We start from the raw sequence: 19796 nt of genomic DNA, 5'->3' as shown, positions 1-19796 counted from the left end.
AACAAATATACTTCAGATTAAAAAAAAATCAGTACCAGTCATATTATTATTAAGAAGTTTATAAAACCAGTACCAACATGGTAGTGGTATAAAAATAAGCACATAGACCAAGGGAAGAGAATAGAGAACGCAGAAATAAAGCCAAGCATTTACACCCAACTGATCTTCGACAAAGCAAAACAAAAACATAAAGTGAGAGAAAGACACCCTATTTAACAAATGGTGCTGGGATAATTGACAAGCCACATGTAGAAGAATGAAACTGGATCCTCATCTCTCACCTTATACAAAAATCAATTCAAGATGGATCAAAGACTTAAATCTAAGACTTGAAACCATAAAGATTCCAGAAGATAACATCGGTAAAACTCTTCTAGACACTGGCGTAGGCAAAGACTTCATGACCAAGAACCCAAAAGCAAATGTAACAAAAACAAAGATAAGTAGATGGGACTTAATTAAACTAAAAAGCTTCTGCACAGCAAAGGAAATAATCAGCAGAGTTAACAGGCAGCCCACAGAGTGGGAGAAAATCTTCATAATCTATACATCCGACAAAGGACTAATATCCAGAATCTACAAAGAACTCAAATCAGCAAGTAAAAAACAAACAATCCCAGCCAGCCATGGTGGCTCACGCCTGTAATCCCAGCACTTTGGGAGGCTGAGGCAGGTGGATCACTTGAGGTCAGGAGTTCAAGACTAGCCTGGCCAATATGGTGAAATCCCGTCTCTACTAAAAATACAAAAAATTAGCCGGGCGTGCTGGTGCATGCCTGTAATCCCAGCTACTTGGGAGGCTGAAGCAGAAAAATCACTTGAACCTAGAAGGCAGAGGTTGCAGTGAGCCAAGATCGCGCCATTGTACTCCAGCCTGGGAGACAGAGCGAGACTCTGTCTCAAAACAAAACAAAACAAAACAAAATCCCACCAAAAAGTAGCCTAAGGACACATTCAAAAGAATATGTACAAATGGCCAACAAGCATATGGAAAAATGCTCAACATCATTAATTATCAGGGAAATCAAATCAAAACCACAATGCAATGCCACCTCACTCCTGCAAGAATGGCCATAATGGAAAAAAAAAAATAGATGTTGGCGTGGATGCGGTGAAAAGGGAACACTTTTACACTGTTGGTGGGAATGTAAACTAGTACAACCACTATGAAAAACAGTGCGGAGATTCCTTAAAGAACTCAAAGTAGATCTACCATTTGATCCAGCAATCCCATTCCTGGGTATCTACCCAGAGGAAAAGAAGTCATATGAAAAAGATACTTGCACATGCATGTTTACAGCAGCACAATTCGCAATTGCAAAAACACAGAACCAGCCCAAATGCCCAAAAATGAATGAGTAGATAAAGAAAATGTGGTTTATATACACCATGGAATACTGCTCAGCCATAAAAAAGAATGAATTAATGGCATTTGCAGCAACCTGTATGGGATTGGAGACTATTATTCTAAGTGAAGTAACTCAGGAATAGAAAACCAAACATCATATGTTCTCATTCACAATTGGGAGCTAAGCTATGAGGACACAAAGGCATAAGAGTGATACAATAGATTTTGGGGACTCGGGGAAAAGGGTGGGAGGGGTGTGAGGGATAAAAGACTACACACTGGGTACAGTGTACACCGCTTGGGTGATGAGGGCACCAAAATCTCAGAAATCACCACTAAAGAACTTATTCGTGTAACTAAACACCACCTGTTCCCCAAAAACCTATTGAAATAAAAAATAAATTTTTAAAAATAATAAATAGATAAAATAGGGAGATTAACTTGGATTACTGAGGTGGGTCTAATATTATCACAAGGGTCTTTAAAAGTGAAACAGGGAGGCAGAAGAGAAAGTGAGAGTGATGCGGAGAGTGATGCGGCATGAGAAGGACTTGGCCCAATGTTTCTGGCTTTGAAGATGGAGGAATGGCATCATGAGTCAAGGAAAGCAGGTGGCCTCTAGAAGGTGGAAGAGATGTGGAAATGGCTTCTTCCCTAGAGCCTACAGAAAGAAATGCATGCTTGCCAACACCCTGATTTTAACCCAGTGTGGCTTATTTTGGTTGTTAGAACTCCTGAACTGTAAGAAAATAAATTTATGTTGTTTTAAGCTACTAAGTTTGTGGAGACTTGTTAGAGCAGCAGTAGAAAACTAATACATTAAGGTCATCATTTGCTGTGAGCATTACTAACCTCTGATAATCAGGAGAGGAAGAACCAGCTGGGGTATTCTCATTAACCCTTTATTTGCACTCCCACTTTCCTTTTGGCCATTTCATTGTTAGTATCACCACTAAAAGATGAGCAGAGACTGTAAACTCAATGAATCTGGTGTGCTTAATTTTATGTTATATTAGCACTGCTTTGAGAGAAGGGCTATCCTTCCATGGGTAAGTCTGACCTGGAAGTAGTAGTGGTTTGAGTTACTCATGCCTTCCCTTACTCCCAGTATCTCAGTGGCTACTGTTTCCTACTTCCTGCTTGTATTCCAGGAAGAATAGAAACAAGATAGCAGGTGCACTGAGGTTTGTGACCACACTGATTTTTTTTTTTGCCTGTGGTAAATTCAGTTTTGCCCACGTATAAAGCATATGAAGGGAAATCAATGCAAGTCTTTCACCATGAGAATACTTAGCTCAGCGGGTGTATTATAGTTTGTTATGGCTGCCATGATGAAGTATCACAGACTGGGCAGCTTAAACAACTGAAATTTATTTTTCACAATTCTTGAGTCTAGAAGTCCCAAGTCAAGATGTTGGCAAAGTCAGCTTCTTTGGAGGCCTCTGTCCTTGCCCTATAGATGGTCATCTTCTTCCTATGTCTTTACGTGGTCCTCCCTTTGTCTGTGTGCTTCTTATGAGGACATCAGTCATCTTGGATGAAGTCTTCCCATATGACCTCATTTTACTTTAATTACCTCTTCAAAGGCCTTACCTCCTAAAACAATCACATGCTGAGGTACTAGTGGTTAGAATTTCAGTATGAATTTTGTTCACAGTTCACAATCCAGGTCATAACAACAGGCATAAAGGCTATTAAATAAGCATATGGAAAATCTTCAGGAAAGCTTAAATGAAAAGTACTTAACTTCACATCCAGTATTTGTGCACAAGAGAAAATTTACAGCTAAATAGATTTCAAATGATGATAGTTCTTCAGTAAAGACATACCTAGATTTTTGTAATTAGTTTTACAAGGAAATGAGAAAACTGCATTTATATTAAGCCCTGATAATGATAAAATGAAGCGAGCACTGGTATAAAAATAGTAAGCTCCATGTTATAAAATGCATAAATAGAAATGTTTGCAAGAACAATCATACAAAATGGCAAGCCATTAAAATAATTACCTAAAGAAATGATTATTTCTTGAGGTAAAAGACAACTATGGAAATACACACTAATTAACCTGTCTAAAATGAAAAGAGGTAATGTGAAGCTCAAAAACACTCCTGAAGAAAAAATTAGAAATTAATATTTCATTGTTACAATAGAAGGATGAGTGCTCTTGAAGAATCAAATCCTTTAAATATGAATATTTAGAACATTATGTTAGCAGTAATCTGAACCAATATGAGAAATGAGAAAGAAGTAGAAACACTTTTGAGAAACTATTAAATGAATCTAGCAGTTTCTTAGTAAACATCCAGTGTGAGTAGACTGGCGGATATATTCCTCCCCAATGTGCTCTGCTCCCACCACCCAGAAATCAACCCAAACACATAAAAACTAGGAATCTATAAGCATCTCTTGTATCAGCGGAAAATAAATCAGGAGATGAGGGCACCAAGTAGAATTCACGACTCAATCAATTGTCTTATCCATTGAAGGTACTTTAATTTTGCAGTTATTGATTAATTAAAAAACACAGTTGTTTTCAGCATTTCCTAGCTACAGTAGTGCATAGGAAATTCCATTCTAAACAAAGAAGTAATTAATGAAATAACAACACACCTTAACATTTTACATTGATAGGTTACAGTTTACAAGGTGCTTTCACATACATTATTTCATTTGATTCTTACAACAAGCAGAAAAAACAGTGGGAAAGATTTTTTTTTTCAGGCTTACAATGAGTATTTTCAGGCCAATGGGCAGTTAACACAAGAATATACCAAGAATGAGACAGCAATACCCATAAGCCACAATATCGTTTTTGGTAGGTTGACAGTTTGATTCAACTGGGTATTCAGCATCGGTGAGTGAGAAAGGAATTAGGACAGACACCAAGGCTCTTATGATATTCAAATAATTTTAAGAACACTGTCAGAGATAAGAAGAAAGATGCCCTAAAATATATTGCCTTATTGAGACTTACTTCAAAGCAATATACCCTTCAAAATATCAGATAAAAAGACAATCTTGTCATCGACTGTGAAAGTTAGGAGGAATCTTACAAACTGCCTAATCCAGTTCTTCCATTTTACAGACAAGAGAACTGAGGCTGAGATCATACTGATAGTTTTCCAGCCTGAAATTCAGATGTCTTGACTTTCAGTCTAGGGCTCCTTCTTACACAATGCCATCTCTTAATTATTTACTGAGCATAACATAATATCTTCTGTTTCAAATATGTAATTTTAGGTTAAATACTGATTTATGCTACTTACTTCTTATTCAAGTTTTTATCTTATTCTTGGCTAAATTGTGGCTGAAACTGGGAATGTTACATACTTTAAAAATATTCTAATTTAGTGTACTTGATTGGTCAGAAATTGACTCCCTTGACATATTTGCTCATGACAAGCTTGCTCACGGCCTTTAAATAGAGAGTAAAATGGAATGGCTGAATAGCCCTCAAAACCAACGTATGTCTAGGGATCATCTACCTAAGGTAGATTCTACAGCTGGGCACTAGTAATTTCATAGAAAAAAATATTTTTTAGAATTCATAGAAATCTTTTTGATTACTGAAAACTAAATTGTAATAATCAAATTGTCATCCCCATGACTTATTAAAATAATTTTACAATAATATACAACAAAGCTACCATAGAATTTGTAGTTTACATATAGAACACATTGGTCAGCATGTTCTTGGGTCTAAATGAAATACAAGAAAATTAAAATATTTTATACGAATGATGTTTTAAATTTATTAACATGACGATATGCCTTTGTTACACAAAACTTGCTAGAGCAGAGTATTTTATTTTTTTCTTGCACGTTTTAAATATAGATGGACCAGTGAAATCAATATCAGCATTTACATGACATTACCATGCAGAAACACTTGATAACCGAAAGACATATAGATTGGTAGAAAGAACATCTCAGACAGGTTTTTTTTATGTCTTCAAAGGTTTCACCAGGGTGTGGTACAGATGAAAAGAAGTGGTGTTAATGACCTACCTGCACCGATAATAAAGCAAATAGAATGATTATATACATTAAGATCAGCTTGATTAAAAATAAATTTTATATGCAGGTAAATTGATCATTAAAATGAACCCAGTTTAACTCTTCTCGTGTGTTGTTTTAAGGTAGGTCACTGAAACGCAGAGATAAAATCAGATGGGGAAAATTAAAAGCAAAGAAAAAAATAGCAAAACAAGTGGGTTAAGCCATGGATTCTCAACAAACACTGAACTAAATGTGCAAAAGTGCTTGAAATTTCCACCTGACAGCAATGTTGTTAAGTCAGTTGGCAAAAAAAAGTGTAGGAAAAAAACTAACCTCTCAAATACCAACATTGTATCTGCATGATCGATCAGACATTCTGTTTACTGAGAGAACAGAGGTTAGAAATTATGAAATATCTGAAAATATCATACCTCAAAATTAAAATACAATTGTGGCAGTTTTATACACTTTGTTCCCTTTCCTCATTGATGAGGCATGGGATGAAAGCAGAAGTTGCAGCAGTGCCCCTACCCTAGGCTCACAAATATAGTACACCACAATAATTAGCTGGAAACAACTTCTTTTTAACGGTTACAAAACAAAACAAATGTAAACCCTCATTTAAATATGAATACCTCTATATTGTTTCCAAAAATCAAGCCATTTTTGACTTTGCAAAGTATAAGTATTTATCTAAACCAATGTTCTTTTTAGTTTGCTTATTTTCCTTTAAAAAGTTTATGATGAGGACTATTAGAGAAAATTTAAAATTTGTCACTTTCATTAATCATGTTCTATTAAAATACTGGCTAAAATCCTTAAGGAACAGTTAAGGTTTAGAAAACTTAGAACTCTTCTCTAATACCTACAGAAATGCTGGTACCAAGTGAGAGAATCTGGGTGATGATCCATATCATTAGTTTTTCCTGCTGAATGAGACACGTTTGTCACACTACACAGGCTGGTCACTTCATTACTCAAGGAGAGGAGGATATAAAAGGAGGGAAAGGGAACTAGAACCTCTGATCTACAGCCTTCCAAATTTCTGGGTCTAGCTGTACTGTATTAGTCTACCAAAATTTATTGCCAGAATAGTGAATTCCAAGAAAGTTAGTCTTAATTTGTATAAATTTCCTTGGTGATAAGACAGTCTATCTTCAAAAATTACCAAGAGTTTTGGCAAAACCAAGTCTGAGCTACTCAAAGAAATAATAATTATTAGAAAGTTTATCTTCAAGCCATTGACCAACAACAATATTGGCAATAACTACTGAAAGCAACACTTATCCTTCCCTTCAAATATCACGTAGCCATAACACTGCCCATCTGAAACACCAACAAAATAAAATGGAGCACTGTTTAGAGAAAACCAATGAAATTGGAAAAGGAAGAAATGGATATAGGAGAGGAGAAAGACAACCCAAAGAGAAGTAAGAAAGTGGTCTAGTACTGTGTTATGGCACAGACAATGCTTGCTTAGCGGTGCCTTGTTACATAGGTGGATGCAGAGTGCGCACACGGGATGATGGCAATAAAGACCTCACTCAGTCGTTGGAATGAAGGAACTAGGTAACTGCTTCAACAAGGACGGTCTCAGCTCTACCTTATCTCTCAACAGAGTGCAAACACTGAGTGTGAGCTCAGATGTCATCTTGTTCCTCTTTAAAATTCACCAAATTCTTTTGCACATTTTTCTGTTATAGAGACACGGATATCTTCTTCTTCATAGTCATCAAAGTTGCTGGTATCTCCAGAGCCTCTAAACTTTGGTATGAATGGAGCTTCAACCTATAATTGAGAGGGAGAGAAAAATAAGAAAAAGGAAAAAAAAATTCCTGAGAGTTTCCAAACACCAAGAAAAATAAATTCCCACTGTTATTACACGGTGAAATCCTTAGATGCCATTAGGTTCCTAAAATATAATAGTGCTAGAAGAAGCAGCAAGCAGTAGGTTAGCTATTAACCTCAACATTTTGATTCAAGGAAGTATGCAGGTCAACAAAATACTTAAGAAATTTCTGGGATAAGAGGAGAAGCCAAGATGGCCGAATAGGAACAGGTACGGTCTACAGCTCCCAGCGTGAGGGACACAGAAGACGGGTGATTTCTGCATTTCCATCTGAGGTACCAGGTTCATCTCACTAGGGAGTGCCAGACAGTGGGCGCAGGTCAGTGGGTGCACGCACCGTGTGCGAGCCGAAGCAGGGCAAGGCATTGCCTCACTCAGGAAGCGCAAGGGGTCAGGGAGTTCCCTTTCCTAGTCAAAGAAAGGGGTGACAGACGGCACCTGGAAAATCAGGTCACTCCCACCCGAATACTGCGCTTTTCCCACGGGCTTAAAAAACGGCGCACCAGGAGATTATATCCTGCACCTGGCTTGGAGGGACCTACGCCCACGGAGTCTCGCTGATTGCTAGCACAGCAGTCTGAGATCAAACTGCAAGGTGGCAGTGAGGCTGGGGGAGGGGCGCCCGCCATTGCCCAGGCTTGCTTAGGTAAACAAAGCAGCTGGGAAGCTCGAACTGGGTGGAGCCCACCACAGCTCAAGGAGGCCTGCCTGCCTCTGTAAGCTCCACCTCTGGGGGCAGGGCACAGACAAACAAAAAGACAGCAGTAACCTCTGCAGACTTAAATGTCCCTGTCTGACAGCTTTGAAGAGAGCAGTGGTTCTCCCAGCACACAGCTGGAGATCTGAGAACGGGCAGACTGCTTCCTCAAGTGGGTCCCTGACCCCTGACCCCTGAGCAGCCTAACTGGGAGGCACCCCCCAGCAGGGGAACACTGACACCTCATAGGGCCAGGTACTCCAACAGACCTGCAGCTGAGGGTCCTGTCTGTTAGAAGGAAAACTAACAAACAGAAAGGACATCCACACCAAAAACCCATCTGTACATCACCATCATCAAAGACCAAAAGTAGATAAAACCACAAAGATGGGGAAAAAACAGAGCAGAAAAACTGGAAACTCTAAAAAGCAGAGCGCCTCTCCTCCTCCAAAGGAACGCAGTTCCTCACCAGCAACGGAACAAAGCTGGACGGAGAATGACTTTGACGAGCTGAGAGAAGAAGGCTTCAGACGATCAAATTACTCTGAGCTACGGGAGGACATTCAAACCAAAGGCAAAGAAGTTGAAAACTTTGAAAAAAATTTAGAAGAATGTATAACTAGAATAACCAATACAGAGAAGTGCTTAAAGGAGCTGATGGAGCTGAAAACCAAGGCTCGAGAACTACGTGAAGAATGCAGAAGCCTCAGGAGCCGATGCGATCAACTGGAAGAAAGGGTATCAGCAATGGAAGATGAAATGAATGAAATGAAGCGAGAAGGGAAGTTTAGAGAAAAAAGAATAAAAAGAAACGAGCAAAGCCTCCAAGAAATATGGGACTATGTGAAAAGACCAAATCTACGTCTGATTGGTGTACCTGAAAGTGATGGGGAGAATGGAACCAAGTTGGAAAACACTCTGCAGGATATTATCCAGGAGAACTTCCCCAATCTAGCAAGGCAGGCCAACATTCAGATTCAGGAAATACAGAGAACGCCACAAAGATACTCCTCGAGAAGAGCAACTCCAAGACACATAATTGTCAGATTCACCAAAGTTGAAATGAAGGAAAAAATGTTAAGGGCAGCCAGAGAGAAAGGTCAGGTTACCCTCAAAGGGAAGCCCATCAGACTAACAGCGGATCTCTCGGCAGAAACTCTACAAGCCAGAAGAGAGTGGGTGCCAATATTCAACATTCTTAAAGAAGAGAATTTTCAACCCAGAATCTCATATCCAGCCAAACTAAGCTTCATAAGTGAAGGAGAAATAAAATACTTTACAGACAAGCAAATGTTGAGAGACTTTGTCACCACCAGGCCTGCCCTAAAAGAGCTCCTGAAGGAAGTGCTAAACATGGAAAGGAACAACCGGTACCAGTTGCTGCAAAATCATGCCAAAATGTAAAGACCATCGAGACTATGAAGAAACTGCATCAACTAACGAGCAAAATAACAAGCTAACATCATAATGACAGGATCAAATTCACACATAACAATATTAACTTTAAATGTAAATGGACTAAATTCTCCAATTAAAAGACACAGACTTGGCAAATTGGATAAAGAGTCAAGACCCATCAGTATGCTGTATTCAGGAAACCCATCTCACATGCAGAGACACACATAGGCTCAAAATAAAAGGATGGAGGAAGATCTACCAAGCAAATGGAAAACAAAAAAAGGCAGGGGTTGCAATCCTAGTCTCTGATAAAACAGACTTTAAACCAACAAAGATCAAAAGAGTCAAAAAAGGCCATTACATAATGGTAAAGGGATCAATTCAACAAGAAGAGCTAACTATCCTAAATATATATGCACCCAATACAGGAGCACCCAGATTCATAAAGCAAGTCCTGAGTGACCTACAAAAAGACTTAGACTCCCACACATTAATAATGGGAGACTTTAACACCCCACTGTCAACATTAGACAGATCAATGAGACAGAAAGTCAACAAGGAATTGAACTCAGCTCTGCACCAAGTGGACCTAATAGACATCTACAGAACTCTCTACCCCAAATCAACAGAATATACATTTTTTTCAGCACCACACCACACCTATTCCAATATTGACCACAGAGTTGGAAGTAAAGCTCTCCTCAGCAAATGTAAAAGAACAGAAATTATAACAAACTATCTCTCAGACCACAGTGCAATCAAACTAGAACTCAGGATTAAGAATCTCACTCAAAACCGCTCAACTACATGGAAACTGAACAACCTGCTCCTGAATGACTACTGGGTACATAACGAAATGAAGGCAGAAATAAAGATGTTCTTTGAAACCAACGAGAGCAAACACACAACATACCAGAATCTCTGGGACACATTCAAAGCAGTGTGTGGAGGGAAATTTATGGCACTAAATGCCCACAAGAGAAAGCAGGAAAGATCCAAAATTGACACCCTAACATCACAATTAAAAGAACTAGAAAAGCAAGAGCAAACACATTCAAAAGCTAGCAGAAGGCAAGAAATAACTAAAATCAGAGCAGAACTGAAGGAAATAGAGACACAAAAAACCCTTCAAAAAATTAATGAATCCAGGAGCTGGTTTTTTGAAAGGATCAACAAAATTGATAGACTGCTAGCAAGACTAATAAAGAAAAAAGAGAGAAGAATCAAATAGACGCAATAAAAAATGATAAAGGGGATATCACCACCAATCCCACAGAAATACAAACTACCATCAGAGAATACTACAAACACCTCTACGCAAATAAACTAGAAAATCTAGAAGAAATGGATAAATTCCTCGACACATACACTCTCTGAAGACTAAACCAGGAAGAAGTTGAATCTCTGAATAGACCAATAACAGGATCTGAAATTGTGGCAATAATCAATAGCTTACCAACCAAAAAGAGTCCAGGACCAGATGGATTCACAGCCGAATTCTACCAGAGGTACAAGGATGAATTGGTACCATTCCTTCTGAAACTATTCCAATCAATAGAAAAAGAGGGAATCCTCCCTAACTCATTTTATGAGGCCAGCATCATCCTGATACCAAAGCCAGGCAGAGACACAACCAAAAAAGAGAATTTTAGTCCAATATCCTTGATGAACATTGATGCAAAAATCCTCAATAAAATACTGGCAAACCAAATCCAGCAGCACATCCAAAAGCTTATCCACCATGATCAAGTGGGCTTCATCCCTGGGATGCAAGGCTGGTTCAATATATGGAAATCAATAAATGTAATCCAGCATATAAACAGAACCAAAGAAAAAACCACATGATTATCTCAATAGATGCAGAAAAGGCCTTTGACAAAATTCAACACGCTAAAAACTCTCAATAAATTAGGTATTGATGGGACGTATTTCAAAATAATAAGAGCTATCTATGACAAACCCACAGCCAATATCATACTGAATGGGCAAAAACTGGAAGCATTCCCTTTGAAAACTGGCACAAGACAGGGATGCCCTCTCTCACCACTCCTATTCAACATAGTGTTGGAAGTTCTGGCCAGGGCAATTAGGCAGGAGAAGGAAATAAAGGGTATTCAATTAGGAAAAGAGGAAGTCAAATTGTCCCTGTTTGCAGACATGATTGTATATCTAGAAAACCCCATTGTCTCAGCCCAAAATCTCCTTAAGCTGATAAGCAACTTCAGCAAAGTCTCAGGATACAAAATCAATGTACAAAAATCACAGGCATTCTTATACACCAACAACAGACAAACAGAGAGCCAAATCATGAGTGAACTCCCATTCACAATTGCTTCAAAGAGAATAAAATACCTAGGAATCCAACTTACAAGGGATGTGAAGGACCTCTTCAAGGAGAACTACAAACCACTGCTCAAGGAAATAAAAGAAGATACAAACAAATGGAAGAACATTCCATGCTCATGGGTAGGAAGAATCAGTATCATGAAAATGGCCATACTGCCCAAGGTAATTTATAGATTCAATGCCATCCCCATCAAGCTACCAATGACTTTCTTCACAGAATTGGAAAAACTACTTTAAAGTTCATATGGAACCAAAAAAGAGCCCGCATCGCCAAATCAATCCTAAGCCAAAAGAACAAAGCTGGAGGCATCTCACTACCTGACTTCAAACTATACTACATGGCTACAGTAACCAACACAGCATGTTACTGGTACCAAAACAGAGATATAGATCAATGGAACAGAACAGAGCCCTCAGAAATAATGCCACATATCTACAACTATCTGATCTTTGACAAACCTGAGAAAAACAAGCAATGGGGAAAGGATTCCCTATTTAATAAATGGTGCTGGGAAAACTGGCTAGCCATATGTGGAAAGCTGAAACTGGATCCCTTCCTTACACCTTATACAAAAATCAATTCAAGATGGGTTAAAGACTTAAACGTTAGACCTAAAACCATAAAAACCCTAGAAGAAAACCTAGGCATTACCATTCAGGACATAGGCATGGGCAAGGACTTCATGTCTAAAACACCAAAAGCAATGGCAACAAAAGCCAAAATTGACAAATGGGATCTAATTAAACTAAAGAGCTTCTGCACATCAAAAGAAACTACCATCAGAGTGAACAGGCAACCTACAAAATGGGAGAAAATTCTTGCAACCTACTCATCTGACAAAGGGCTAATATCCAGAATCTACAATGAACTCAAACAAATTTACAAGAAAAAAATAAACAACCCCATCAAAAAGTGGGCAAAGGACATGAACAGACACTTCTCAAAAGAAGACATTTATGCAGCCAAAAAACACATGAAAAAATGCTCACCATCACTGGCCATCAGAGAAATGCAAATCAAAACCACAATGAGATATCATCTCACACCAGTTAGAATGGCAAACATTAAAAAGTCAGGAAATAACAGGTGCTGGAGAGGATGTGGAGAAATAGGAACACTTTTACACTGTTGGTGGGACTGTAAACTAGTTCAACCATTGTGGAAGTCAGTGTGGCGATTCCTCAGGGATCTAGAACTAGAAATACCATTTGACCCAGCCATCCCATTACTGGGTATATACCCAAAGGACTATAAATCATGCTGCTATAAAGACACATGCACACGTATGTTTATTGCGGCATTATTCACAATAGCAAAGACTTGGAACCAACCCAAATGTCCAACAAAGATAGACTGAATTAAGAAAATGTGGCACATATACACCATGGAATACTATGCAGCCATAAAAAATGATGAGTTCATGTCCTTCGTAGGGACATGGATGAAATTGGAAATCATCATTCTCAGTAAACTATCGCAAGAACAAAAAACCAAACACTGCATATTCTCACTCATAGGTGGGAACTGAACAATGAGAACACATGGACACAGGAAGGGGAACATCATACTCTGGGGACTGTTACGGGGTGGGGGGAGGGGGGAGGGATAGCATTGGGAGATATACCTAATGCTAGATGACGAGTTAGTGGGTGCAGCGCACCAGCATGGCACATGTATACATATGTAACTAACCTGCACATTGTGCACATGTACCCTAAAACGTAAAGTATAATAATAAAAAAAAAAAGAAATTTCTGGGATAATTAACTGTTGGCATCAAAATCCTGGCTCCTAAGGTTACAAAACTTCAGTCTTAATTTTTAGTTCCTTGTTTTTAAGACCTTATCTTTTCCTATCCCTCTTGTAAAAATTCTTTTCTCCTCAAGTTACAGCTAAATCTCAGACTTACTTTTAATTGCTTTCCTTTTTTAATTCCCAAGTTTATTTTGTTTAAAATATCTGGCCATCAAAACTTTCTGAGAGTTTGGAAAGAAATATAACTCTTTTAGAATTAGAGAATTGTTAAACCTTAAACATTTTTCTCCTTTGATCCTAAAAGTAAAATGTCTTCCCACTACTTCGAATATGGTCTTCTATAAAGATTAAATGTGGGTACTGAATACATTTGAGGAAAAGATTTTAAAAGCTAAAAAAAAAAAATCATAATCTGCACAGCCTTTATAGAATTTACAAACAATTACAGTTGCTTTATTCTGTTCTCAGTACAACACTGTGAGGAAGGAAGGACTGGTGTTCTTACTCCCATTTTACAGATTATAAAAGAGTCGATTGACCAAATTCACATGACTGATAAGCGGCTAAAGCAGGTTTCATATTCATGATTCTCCACTTCTGGCCCAGAGCTCTCCAAGGGTTTTTAATTTATATCCCTTTCATTAAAACATTTTCTAGTACACATAATCAACATATATATAGTTATTTACTTACAATTTATTTAGATGTATGACTATACTATTATAAGATACACACACAAATAAGGTATTGAAAAAGAATAAGGTAAAAATAAGTAGGAATGGGACTTCTAATATTATCTTTTTGTTTGAGAGCTGGTTGCCTTGCACGCCCTGCTTTGGGGACTGCTGTTTTGCACTACCCAGAAGAATGAGCTAAGCAGACAGTTGCTTCACGTCTAGCCAGCCAGCAATTTAGAATAACAAACCTATTGGGGCAATCATGTGTAGAAAATGATTGTACAGTTTGAGTTGTTCAGGCTACTTCTTTCTTCTGCCTTTTTTTTTCCTTGATCATTTGGAGATGCATCAGAGAATAAAGAAGACAATTAAAACTATTCATATTTACTATGATTTTTGCACTGCTGTGCATAGTTATAATACTTGAGAAGATATTAAAACAAATGGTTAAAGTACTCTGCTATTTTTATTTGTAAATTGTCCATGGATCCTTACATCTGTTTCATTGATAATTCAAGATTTGGCTGTCAATCAATTTGTCCATTACTACAATCTGTATGTTACAGTGTGCCACTTGTTGGTAGGTTACCTGTTTACTACCTGGGATAAGTCAAGCCCTCTGAAAAGCACATACACTTTAAATGAGTAGTGGCCTTCCTGTTCTATCCCCTTTTAGGAATAATTATTAAAAATTAAACACATAATAGGAATAGATAAGTAAATGACTGCTATTTGGCAGAAGATTTTATTTCTAAATATAAATATGAAAAGATTCAAATACACCATAAATCTTTAGCATACTAATAAAGTTGACAAGCCTCAAGGCAATCTAAAGAATATACCTCGAAATAGCATTAATTAACAATAAATACAACAATAAAGATAATATAAGCAATGATAATTAGAAAGGGAAATGGATGATTTTATTGGAAATATAAATTTCTTAAATTGAGTCAAAAAGTAAAAACTTGAAGAGACCAATACCCAAGAATTAGTCTGTTAAAATTTATAAGGAATAGATATAAGATGACTCTATGTTCCTAAATTTTCTGCAGAATAAAAGCCTGGAAACTTTCTAAACTCATTTTATGAATCCCATATAATCCCAACTTCAAAAAAACAGAAACTGTAGACTAATAAAACTTATGACTACAGAAGTAAAAACCCTAAATAAAATTTTGGCAAATAGATTTCAGGCAAATATTAAAATGTTAATACCCCATGATTAATGGTATTCATTCCAGGAAAGTGAGGATGTCTCCCTCATATAATTCATCACACTAACATGTCAAAAAAGATAAAATACAGTGTATTAGAAATCAACAATGTTTTGTTAACCTCATAAAGAATACCTATCTCAGCCAAATGGCCAACTTTATATTTGGTGGTAAAACATGAAAGGCAACAAATTATAGAAATGATCCCTGAAAGTATATTCTTGGGCACTTCCATTCAAAGCAGGAACAAGACAAGAAAGCTCAAGGGCCCTACTGCATTAAAATATTGTTTTAGACATTCTAATATATGTACTAAAACAAAAATGGAAATGAGATGTAAATACTGAAAAGGAACAGACAAAATGATATGCCAATCTCCTATGATTGTCAATAAAAATCCAAAGGAATCACTGAAAAATGTGGAAATCAATAACAGAATTTAGTAACATGGTCAATTATAATATAAACATAAAAATGATGTTTTGCCCATATCCTACTATAACGGGAAAGCAAACACATTAATAATAGCAACCAAAATATAAATTTAAGCAATAATTTTAAGACATAAATTCCTTCCTATATGGAGGAAGGGGGGTTCTCTAAAACTTTACTGAATGACGAAAGATATTTGAGTAAATGCAGAAGCAACATGTTCATAATGGTAAATTCTCAAGATTCAGGTTCTCTCCTAATATGCAACTTTACTGTTAATCCCCAAATTCAATAAATCTTTAGAGAGACCAAAAAAAAAAACAAAAAACCCACAAACCATTGGCAAGTCTAATCAAAAAAGGAAGAGAAAACATACAGGAGATAAGGATGATTTTCTAGGAAATATAAATTACCTAACTTGACTCTAAAATAATGCATATGGGGCAAGAGAACAGAACATTTGGAAAGGGTAAACAAGGGTGAAGAAACTGGACCCATCTAATATTAAAATATTTTAAAGCTACATAAAGCAGTGACATATACAGTACAAGAACAGACAAAAAGAACTCCTAAAAAATAAAGGTCAGGGCTTCAAGATGGCTGACTCAGAACTCTCCTCCACAAAGAAGGACCAAAACAGTGAGTAGATAATCACATGTTGAATAAAGCCTCTAAGAGAGAACACTGAAATTTAGCAGGGAAGTGACAGGGAACATCTGAGGCAGATAAGCAAAAGGAAGTGAAGCAGCTGGCCTAGCTGGGACCAGCTGGCAGCCACAAGAGGTTCTCCAGTATGGGGAAAGGGTAACTGAGAGATCCCCAGTGGTCCACATTTCCACCACAGACTCTTGCAATCCTAGCCATGTAAGATCCCCACAACCCTCGTGAATTCTGAGACAAGTATAGGGACCTGCCTGGAGTTCACACAATAGCATTGTTCCAGAGAGGGAGTTTGTTCCAGGTCCCACACCCACCCCCAGGACCCAAGAAGCTGAAGCACAGTGCCATTTTGAGAAGCCAACTACCATTAGAGAGTATGCATCTCTATACACCTGGAGCCCAACTGACAGTGCCCCATGTCTATCAAAGGGGTTCCAGTGGTACAGTGCTGGCTGGACCCAATGGTGCGGCTGGGTCCCCAGCACTCGAGCCCACACAGTGTCTTATACTCCAAAGAACAAGCAGGGCAGCACACTAGGGAAGGCTGTTTCTGGGGCCGGAAGCCAAAGCATACACTCCCCAGAGTCTGAGGGCCTCCTGCCTGGGGCCACTGCCACTGATAGCAATGCCCAGCCCCCACAACAGGACTGCCAGGTACTTGCAGCACCTTCAGTGGACCTGGGAACTGGCCCAACTGGATGCTATTTGGGGGCATGAGGACAGACTCACTCTGCCTACCACCTCTCAAGTATTTTATCCAGGGGCCTAGGAATAGTCCTTCCCTGCCTACCAGAGTCTGTATCTGTGTGCACCAATAGGGGCCTGAGGACAGGCCTGTCCCTTTAAGTGCCACCCCTCCTAGTGCCCTAGCACACCACCTGGGAGGCCTGGGGAGTGCCCCCCTCTGTCTATCACTCTGGGTACACATACATATGATCAAGAAGCATGACGAAAGACTCAGGCTATCAGCCACTGGCATCAAAATATGCTGTCCAGTGGCCCAAAGACTGCCCTGTTCACCACAGCCTGCACCCACAGGTACAACAGAGGAGCCTGGGGACAGGCCTTCCCTGCCTGGTGGCACCTCCCACAGTGATTGAGTGCACTGTCTGGAGGCTTGGGGATCCATCCACCCTGCTTGCTGCTTCTGGCATGCACTGCACCATCAGGGGGTCTAACAACAGACCCAAACCACTGACTGCCTGCACTCAAACACATTGTTTGAGGGTCTGGGGATTGCCTCACTTGGTCCAACACAGCCTGTGCCCACGTGCACCATTGAGGGGCCTGAGTAAATGCCTGCACTGCCTGGCACTGCAACCCCAATGCTCAAGCATGCCATCTGAGGGCCTGGGGATTGCCCTGCCCCACCCACTACTGGCCTGAGGCTGGGCCTGCCCAGTCTGCCACCACTACCACTGCTGGCGCTTACCCACATATGCCACCTGAGGGTTTAGGGTCTGGCTTGCCCAATCTGTTGCTACCATCACTAGCAGCAGTGTGTACTGCCTGGGAGCCTGAGGGTTGGCCTGCCATCACTATTACAATCGCTTATGCCACACATGCTGCACAGGAGACTAAGGTCTCATCCATATGCTCAGCCTACCACTGCCACTGCTGGTACCTGAGCAAGCCACATAGAGGCCTAAGAATTGGCCCTTGCAGACCTGCTAAAATTGATGCCAGTGTATGGCCACCAGGGGCAGGTATGCTTGGCCTGCTGCTACCACCACTGGGGCCTGAGGATCAGGATGCCTGGTGTCCCTGTCCCCAGCAAAGCCTCACCACAGGCTACACCAATAATGCGGCCTAAGCCACTGAGGAAATCGCAGACACCCACTGAGGCTAATTACAGCTGAAGAAATCATAGAGACTACACTACTGCATGCACCCAGAATAAAAGCTAAACTGCCCAACAAACCAACATGATAATACATCCACAGAAAAAAGTCTTACCCTACAAAAGCCAATCCTAAAAACTGGAGGAAATGACTGTTACACCAGATGTGGAGATGTCAATGTAAGTATACAAGAAACATGAAAAAGCAAAGAAACATGACACCTCCAAAAGAACATAATTCTCCACCAACAGATTCCAATTAAACAAAAAATGATGAAATGTCTGAAAAAGAATTCAAACTAATGATATTAAAGAAGCTCAGTGAGATATAAGAGAACACAGACAAACAATACAAAGACATCAGGAAAACAATTCAGGATATGAGTGAGAAATTCAACAGAGAGATAGCATAAAAAAGAACCAAACAGGCCGGGCATGGTGGCTCACGCTTGTAATCCCAGCACTTTGGGAGGCCAAGGTGGGTGGATCATGAGGTCAGGAGATCGAGACCATCCTGGCTAACATGGTGAAACCCTGTCTCTACTAAAAATACAAAAAATTAGCCGGGGCATGGTGGCGGGTGCCTGTCGTCCCAGCTACTCAGGAGGCTGAGGCAGGAGAATGGCGTGAACCCAGGAGGTGGAGCTTGCAGTGAGTTGAGATCACGCCACTGCACTCTTGCCTGGGCGACAGAGCGAGACACCATTTCAAAAAAAACAAAAAAACAAAAAAAAACAACCAAACAGATCCATCCCAGAACTGAAGAATTCAATGAATGAAATGAAAAATACAACTGAGAGCTTTGTCAATAGACTATATCAGGGAGAAGAATTGAGGACAGGTCTTCTGAAATAATTCAGACAGACCCACCAAAAAAGAATAAAAAATAAAAATTAATGAACAAAGCATACATGACATAGGGGACACCTTAAAGCAACGAAATATTCAAATTTGGGGTTTTCCAGAAGGTAAAGTGATGGGTAATGACATAGAAAAACTCATTTAATTTAATAATAGTTGAAAACTTCCTAGTTCTTTTAAGAGATTTAGAAATCCAGATACAGGAAGCTCAAACATCAAATAGATACAATCCAAAAAGGTCTTTTCCAAGACACACTTTACTGAAACTGTCAAAAGTCAAAGACAAGACAGACATCTAAAAACAGCAAGAGAAAAGCATCAAGTCACATATAAGGGAACCTCCATCAGACTAACGTGGATTTCTCAGGGGAGACCCTGCAGGCCAGGAGAGAATTGGATGATATATTCACAGTGCTAAAAGGAAAAAAACAAACCCTGCCACCAACGATAAACTACTAGACTAACCAAGAAACCTTTCTTCAAAAATGAAGGAGAAAAAAAGTCTTTCCCAGATAAGCAAAAACTGAGGGAATTACCACTATTACAGCAGCCCTACAGGAAATGCTTAAGGTAGTCCTACATCTGGAAGTGAAACAATGATATTTACCATCATGAAAACAAGAAAGTATAAAAGTCACTGGTAGGGCAGACACATAAATGAGAAAGAGAAAGGACTCAAATATTACCATTACAGAAAACCACCAAACTATAATG

General features: G+C 39.1%; 1 protein-coding gene across 15 annotated transcripts in view, besides 2 other annotated features; it reads right to left on the bottom strand.

Annotated features, from left to right (window-relative positions):
* The window catches only part of PRKACB (protein kinase cAMP-activated catalytic subunit beta), a 160420-nt gene continuing 144442 nt past the window's right edge, over nucleotides 3819-19796 (bottom strand). For all 15 annotated transcript variants that reach the window (NM_002731.4, NM_182948.4, XM_047424681.1 and 12 more), the window contains one exon: nucleotides 3819-7137. In NM_002731.4, coding sequence (NP_002722.1) covers nucleotides 7012-7137 — 126 coding nt within the window. In that variant the 3' untranslated portion in view covers nucleotides 3819-7011. The remainder of the gene's footprint in view (nucleotides 7138-19796) is intronic.
* Nucleotides 16552-17351: an enhancer, noted in NCBI's record as "H3K27ac-H3K4me1 hESC enhancer chr1:84690649-84691448 (GRCh37/hg19 assembly coordinates)". NCBI's record gives its function as "activates a minimal SCP1, AML or CMV promoter by ChIP-STARR-seq in primed H9 embryonic stem cells {active_cell/tissue: H9 hESC(primed)}" and the evidence as "EXISTENCE:reporter gene assay evidence [ECO:0000049][PMID:30033119]".
* Nucleotides 17352-18153: an enhancer, noted in NCBI's record as "H3K27ac-H3K4me1 hESC enhancer chr1:84689847-84690648 (GRCh37/hg19 assembly coordinates)". NCBI's record gives its function as "activates a minimal SCP1, AML or CMV promoter by ChIP-STARR-seq in naive and primed H9 embryonic stem cells {active_cell/tissue: H9 hESC(naive and primed)}" and the evidence as "EXISTENCE:reporter gene assay evidence [ECO:0000049][PMID:30033119]".

The sequence above is a fragment of the Homo sapiens genome, chromosome 1 (assembly GCF_000001405.40).
Source record: "Homo sapiens chromosome 1, GRCh38.p14 Primary Assembly".
Classification (NCBI taxonomy): Eukaryota; Metazoa; Chordata; class Mammalia; order Primates; family Hominidae; genus Homo; species Homo sapiens.
The sequence above is the reverse complement of the archived record's forward strand: the minus strand, read 5'-3'. Positions and strand labels throughout refer to the sequence as shown.